General features: G+C 40.6%; 1 protein-coding gene across 1 annotated transcript, besides 3 other annotated features; it reads right to left on the bottom strand.

The window, feature by feature from the left end:
* UBQLN2 (ubiquilin 2) lies at window positions 1255-5496 on the bottom strand. Its single transcript, NM_013444.4, has one exon. It carries the CDS (start codon window positions 5247-5249, stop codon window positions 3375-3377), a length of 1875 nt encoding a protein of 624 aa, NP_038472.2. The 5' UTR covers window positions 5250-5496; the 3' UTR covers window positions 1255-3374.
* Window positions 4500-4559: an enhancer, noted in NCBI's record as "active region_29688". NCBI's record gives its function as "activates an Ori minimal core promoter by ATAC-STARR-seq in GM12878 lymphoblastoid cells {active_cell/tissue: GM12878}" and the evidence as "EXISTENCE:reporter gene assay evidence [ECO:0000049][PMID:35858748]".
* Window positions 4570-4769: an enhancer, noted in NCBI's record as "active region_29687". NCBI's record gives its function as "activates an Ori minimal core promoter by ATAC-STARR-seq in GM12878 lymphoblastoid cells {active_cell/tissue: GM12878}" and the evidence as "EXISTENCE:reporter gene assay evidence [ECO:0000049][PMID:35858748]".
* Window positions 5166-5793: an enhancer, noted in NCBI's record as "H3K27ac hESC enhancer chrX:56589763-56590390 (GRCh37/hg19 assembly coordinates)". NCBI's record gives its function as "activates a minimal SCP1, AML or CMV promoter by ChIP-STARR-seq in primed H9 embryonic stem cells {active_cell/tissue: H9 hESC(primed)}" and the evidence as "EXISTENCE:reporter gene assay evidence [ECO:0000049][PMID:30033119]".

Here is a 7194-nt window from a genome sequence, read left to right as displayed (position 1 = left end):
ATCTCAACTTGATGCAAAAGTCCCCTTTAATGAACCAACAGGTTTTGTTTCCAAGTTGTGTATATGCCCCCTGCCCCTCCCCTCCCACACGAGTAGAGAAAGTATGTATGATATCACGTACCTGAAACAGAGGACAAAAGCAAATGAGGAAAGCTGTCTTGAGGGTGAAGTCATCCTGCTGGGTTTGCCCCTGGCATTAGCTCCCTCCCTACTACCACATCTTGCTGGATCGCAGAGCCATTGGGAGGGGGTGACAACCCAGTAAACAGGGAATGGATACAAAAACACTGTTCCACTCTTGTTGGATGGGGTGACAACCCAGTAAACAGTGAATGGATACAAAATAATTGTTCCACTCTTGTTGGAGGGGGAGGGATAGCAGGTCAGGATATACCCTTCTTGATTCAATGATGAATAAATGGATAAATCTTGGATCAATAGTAGATGAAGAAAACCCAAAACAAAAACAGAGCCTTTAAAAAGAACCTGCAACATAATAGGAGGAAATTACATCATGTAAGAGATGGAGGAAGAACAGTTAAAAGTAATTTTTAAAAGGCCAAAATAAATGAAGTTATAAGCAAAATAATAGTAGACTTAATAAAGTAAAGACGTGGATCTTTTCCAAGAGAAAACAAAATACACTTAAAAATAAACATTTGGCAAAGCTAATAAAATAATTTCCTGTTCCTTGAGTGTTTGAAAGAAACTGATCTGCTAAACTGCCTGAGCCAGGCCTCAGCCAATATCCAGTTTCTACTATGCTATTGATTTCTTGTTATTTTCTATGCCTACAATTTTATATTTATTTCCATATAAAATCATCTGTCATTAAAATTACTGAATTTATTATGACAGACTTTGTGATTATGTCAAATACCTGGCATGATATAGTAATGAAATAATAAATCACCATTTCCTAAGTTGGTGTTCTGAGGAACACTGACAGGCCAAATGGTATTAGGTGTGTTTAAAAGAAAAAAAAAAAGGTGGTTCTGTGCTCAAATAAGTTCGGAAAATGCTGAGTTACACAAAGTTAAATAGTTTTTTTTTTTTTTAATTGAAGAAGCTACCCATTAAAAAAAAATACTAGCCAACATTTATTGCACAATGAGTCTCCAAGAGAGATTAAAGTATACAGCATTTTGCAAATGTATTTCCTTGTCTCCCAGAAGAATATTTTTTTTTCACAAAACACAATTTGGAATTGCTGTAGCAAACACATTCTGGCTAAAATGAGAAACAAGACAAAAATGCCACTGCCACCTTTATTATTTAGCACTGTTATGAAAATGTTTAACCCATGCAGTCAGAAATTATGTTATAAATTTTGAAAAGGAAAACATATAATTATAACATAATTGATAGGATTTCTCACCTGGAAAAACTCAAAAGGATCAAATGAATATCTCTAAAATTAATAGATTTCAATAAATTGCCAATTTAAAATAATCGATGCAAATAAATTCTTCTCCTATATAGCAAAAATGACCACATAGGTAACATATTAAAAGCTCCAATAAGCAGTATCAACGTGTTCCCTGTATGTCTGTATTACCTAGGAACATATTTATTACAAATTATATAGGATTTAAGTAAAACTCTCTTGAAGGATATATAAAGTTTTTCAGAAACAAGGCAACATGTTTCTGGAAAGCAATGCAATTCTGTAGTCCTCACAGTCATATCAATTTAAGAGAATCCCAACCAAATTCTCAATATATTTTTGGGGGAAGAATCTATTAACTGTAAAATTCATCTGGTAAAATAAACATGTCAGAATCGTCAGAATATTGTAAAAAATAAAAAAGATCAAGAGGAGGTCTCACATTAAAAGATACAAAGTCCCATTTCTAACTCATCTACAGGCTGGTGTACTGGTGCCACAATGTTCAATGGAACTAAAGGGAATCCAAACACAGAATAAAGTATATACATGTATGACATTTCATATGTTGGGGGAAAAGGTAAATATGTTAACAACTGGCTAACCCTTTGGGGCAAAAAAGTTAGAATACCTAAATCCATACATCAAGATAATTCCAGACAGGACAAAACATTTTCTAAATAAAACCATATAAGTTAGAGAAATATAGGATAAGATTTATATAATCTCGGGGTGGGATAATCCTCCTAAACACGATCCTAGGGCCAAAAGGCAAAAAGAAAAGATTTATCCATTTTTTAATTTTTTATTTTTTTTAGTCATTTTTAATGCATTTTTCTCTGTGCACAAGAGAAATAACTGATGAAGTCAAAAGACACACTTTCCTTTATACATAGCAGTTAAAAGTAATGCAAACATCACATGACACTTTCAGTGAAAGTTACATTTCCAATTACAAATCAAAATGCATATTAGGGTCTCTTTATGGGAGAAGCTGAGAAGGAAGTCTTAGGTAAAAAGCACTTTCCTGGCATTACTACACTGATCCTTCAGGCTGCACAAAGATTAAGGTCATATACAGTCAATCTGCAAATGTTGACACAATGTTACACTGTAAATTTTCTGTACAATTAAATGTATACTTAGAGATACCAGGATAAACATTTCTACTATATTTTAACTGAACTTGCCTAGCCAACATTTTCACTGAGAAGTTTATCAAAGATGCTGTAAGATTCTACAAAATTGTGAGACATAACTAGCTCCAGAAACATTTCTTGTATTCTTTCTCATTTTGGTTACACATATTACACTCAGATTCTACTGTAATATTTTTAGATGTACAGTGCCAATTGTGCTTACTGTACTGTATACAAATATAGCAAAAAAGATCAATGGTATAAATCTTACAGCATTTTGCTAGCAAAAATACATGCCAAAGTCACAATAAGCAATATCGTACCACAAATTAGAGAGCTTCAAATAATTTGCTTCTGTTTTTAATATCTTCATTCTACATTAAATTACTATCATAGGCTAATGTTTAAAAATGCAAATAAATTGGACATCTGTAGGACAACACTTGTTCACCCAACTGTGAAGGTTGATACCTGTTTCCAAAAATCACAATAAATGCAGAATAAAGAGAAGTGTTTGCATGCAACACTTTTGAGTGAAACAGCATTGATTCCCACCACTCAAAACGGCTAAGGAAGGAAACTAAAGGAAATAAGGAAGGAAGGAAACAAAGAGGGAGGGAGTGGGGAGACAAGAGGAAGGGAAGGTAGGAAAAATAAGCAAAGGAGAAAGGGAGTGAGGGAAGTAGGAGGGAGGGACTCCATCTTAAAATGCATCATATTAGACTTACAACTAGACAGATTTAAAAGAATCAAAATGAAAGTAAAGAACGATTTTGTGTGTGTGTTTAAAGATTTAAGAGCCATTATCAAAAATAAGATACATTTTTTTTCCAGGTACAGAAATGTGATTACGATGGCTGGGAGCCCAGCAGCCTTTCAATGGCTGCATTGATGTCGCCTCCTGTTGCTATTAGGGCCTGCAAGTTTGCTTCACGGTTTAAGAACCCCATTGCGTTGAGCTGTTCCAGTTGTTGCTGAAATCTGACTTCTGGATTCGGCAGCTGTGGAGCATTTGCTCCAGCCAGGGCCTGCACCATTTGCTGAATGAACTGCTGGTTGGGTCCAGATTCTGATGTAGGACTCGTGGTTTCACTAGGTGCAGCGCTGGACACAGTAGGCCCCGTGGGGCCACCAGAGCCGGTGGAGCCAGGGGGGGCTGCAGGGCCAGTGGGTCCTATGGGCCCAATGGGGCCTATGGGGGTAAAAGGGACTATAGGGCCTATGGGGCCTATGGGGGTGACTGGGCCTACAGGGCCTATAGCGGTTCCCAGCACCCCCACCCCCACACCTGGAGTGAAGCTCGGAATCAGGCCAGGTGCTTCAGTGGCTAATGTCTGTAGCCCCTGCTGGATCTGCATTAAAGCCTGCATTGCTCTTGGGTTTGACATGGCTGATAGTGTGTCTGGATTCTGCATCTGCTGCAGGAAGGCTGGGAGCTGTGGCCGCATCTGCTCCTGCAGCTGAGGATTTGCAGTAAACAGCGGGCTATTCAGCATCATCTGTGCAGCCAAATCTGGATTCTGGCTCAGCGACTGCATCATGCTTCTCATGTAGGGCGCCGACAGCATATTCTGAATCAGCTGGGGGTTTTCAGTTATCTGTTGCAGCAGGCTCTGCATGCCTGGGGTACTAAAGATGCTGGCGACATAATTAGCGGCAGCAACGGTGTTCCCAGTAGCATTGCTGGAACTATTGCCAGACCCACTACCAGTGCTTGTGGTCGTGCTGGTAGTTGCAGAACTCTGGGTAGCTGGCGGTGGTGCCCATGGATTGGGTAGTGGATCGCGATTTTCTGTGCGGGAAGGCTGCGTACCTTCCCCAGAGGAGGAACTACTCCCCACGGAGGCAAATGGATTACCCCCAAACTGCTCTTGTGCGGCATTCAGCATCGGCTCTTGAATGTCAGTGTACATGCGCCGTAAAGCATTATAGCCACCTGGGATGCTTTCTAGATTGCTAAGAGCCAGGTCTTGATTTCTCATCATCTCTTGCATCATGGCTGGATTCCTGGCAATTTCGAGTGTCTGCCTCATTATGTCTGGGTTGTTGAGCAGGTGACTGATTTCTGGGTTTCTCTGAATCAATTGCTGCATCTGTGGATTAGCCATAATGAGCTGCCTCATCAGATCGGGATTCGAAAGCATGCTCTGAACAAAGGGATTTTCCATTATTTGGATCATCATCTCAGGGCTGGCCATAAGCTGCTGCTGCATCTGGCTCTGGAGCTCAGAGAAGTTGGTCGAGCTCAAGCCCAGGCTGCTAAGGCCTGCAAGTCCTCCCAGGCTCCCCAACCCAAACGGGTTGCTATTTGTGGAAATAGGTGTGGAGTTACTCCTGGGAGTCGACGCCGAGGTAGTGTTAGTTCCCGCGGCATTGCTAGGCTGCGTGGACTGGCCCTGAGGTCGGTTCTGGCTTTTGATGACAAGGTGAACAGTCAGCCCATCATGGATGCCATGCTGGATCAAGGTATCTTGATCTTTTAAGATTTTTCCGGCAAAAATCAGCACTAGCTGATCGGTTTGGGATTTGAAGCGTTTCGAAATCGCTTCCTTAAACTGCTGAACCGAGCTGTTCTCGGGCACCGCGAACTCCTCTTTCTCTTTGGGAGTCTTCACCGTGACTTTGATGATTTTAGGCTCAGCCGGGGCAGCAGCCGAGCCTTGGGCCGCAGCAGGGCCGCGGGAGGGGCGCGGGGGGCCGCTGCTCTCGCCATTCTCAGCCATGGCGGCCGCGGTGACGCAGGCGGGCAGGGAAGGCGCGGGCGGGCGAAAGAGAGAGCGCGAGGGAAGGAGGAAGGAAGGAGGCACCGCCGCAGCGGGCTGGGCCGGGTCAGGCGGGGAGCGCGGAGCACGGTACCTCTGTGATGAAGACTGCGGTTCCCTGGTCCTCCGGTGGAGAAAGGCCTGGGCGTAGGCCGCTGGCTGAGGTCTCCGCGCTCCGGTCTCTGGGCCTCCTCCGCCGCCGCCTTGTGATCCGACCGCGCGCACTCCCAGCAACTCTGGCAGCCGCTCCGCCTGCTGATCCCCGCCCCTTCCCCTCCCCCAGTTCCGCGCTCGCCTCCCCGCCCCCTCTGCTGACGCGGCGCCAGGCCTAGATTGATAGATTTGGCTCGGTCAAAATTAAAAACTTCTGCACTGAAAAGAAAAAAGGGAGAGAGAGAAACAAAGGGAGAGAGAGAAGAGAACAGAACAGTACAGAGCAGGCGAGGCAGAGAGGGTGAGACGGAGAGAAGGAGGCGGTAGAGAGTCAGCTTCTGTAAACGACATTAAAAGACCAATGGAGAATGTATATTAGCAATCTGTAAGGCAGTAAAAGGGTGAAAGCCTGAATCGAACAGATCCCACGTATAAGACGAAAAATGAATAATAAAGAACTCTGACAAAGCAAAAAGAAAAGAGGAACACCTCCAGTAGGGGAAGGGAAGAAGACAGAGCAGGAGCGTGCATTTTACAAAAGGAGTGCAAATGGCCAATAGACATTAAAAAAGGATGATTAATTTCACTACTAATAAAAAGAAATCAAGTTAAAACAATAAAATTCTACTTTTGGCTTATCATATTGGCAGGGAAAAAAATAATGGTAAACCTTCTTGTTGACAGGGACCCTAAAAAATGCCCTCTCAGGCTAGCTGAAGTGTGAATTGTTACAACCATAGGGCAATTTGAAAATATATATCAGCATTTTGAATGTTTCCACCTTTATTTAGAAATGCCTAACCTAGACACTTCGCCTAATAATCGGATGAGGATGCAAAAATATTTATGTATAAAATGTATATACATTGTAGCATTTTAAAATGTTATTTAAATATATTAACTATCTGTTTACATGAGATTAGTTGAGCACATTATCATATTACCATACAAGAAAATATAGAGTGTCTTTAAAGGTATACATGAAATAAACTGTAGTTATAGGGAAATCACAGAGTATTTTCAATTATGCCTTTGTATATTTCTGTACAGTTACAAACTATATAAGAATATATGTTCCAATATCAAAAATACAATAAATATATTTTTATTTTAAAAGCAATTTTTGAACAGTTTGTTGTATATGTAAACCGTATGTGTAAAAAAATCTGGAAGGCTATGCACAAATAAGTTAATGGCTGTTAGTACTGTTTGCTGAAATTATGAATAATTCTTATTTTCTATTTTCATAAGATTTTGAATTTTCTGATGATTTTTGTAAGTATGCACTACAGAAAGGTATTTTGGGGAAGAGTATGGGTAGAAATTGACAGGCACATAATAGTAGTGGCAAACATTGACATATTTACCTAATTTAATTACAGATTAAGTAAGAGCAATAAAGATGTAGCAATGCTGAGAAAGAGAACTTGAAAAATAGAAGAAATAATTTCAAATTTATCTATATATTTCTAACTCTAGGTTAAACCACACAGAAAATTCTTCCCCAACCCCCACCCTCTACCAAGCATCCACCAAAGCACCACTGCTTTCAACATTTAACAGCATTTCAAAGTCATTAGGTCACAAATACTTTAATAAATCTGAAGATAAGAAAAATATATATATACAGGTATGTTATATCCATCGATGGAGAAATGGAAGAATTAATATTATTTTACCTCTCTATTTTATTAATATAATTAATAAAATACAGAGGTAAAAAGATGACTAGCTTTAAATATGTTAATATGTA

The sequence above is a fragment of the Homo sapiens genome, chromosome X (genome assembly GCF_000001405.40).
Source record: "Homo sapiens chromosome X, GRCh38.p14 Primary Assembly".
NCBI classification, from domain to species: Eukaryota; Metazoa; Chordata; class Mammalia; order Primates; family Hominidae; genus Homo; species Homo sapiens.
This window is presented reverse-complemented; position numbering and strand designations above follow the sequence as displayed.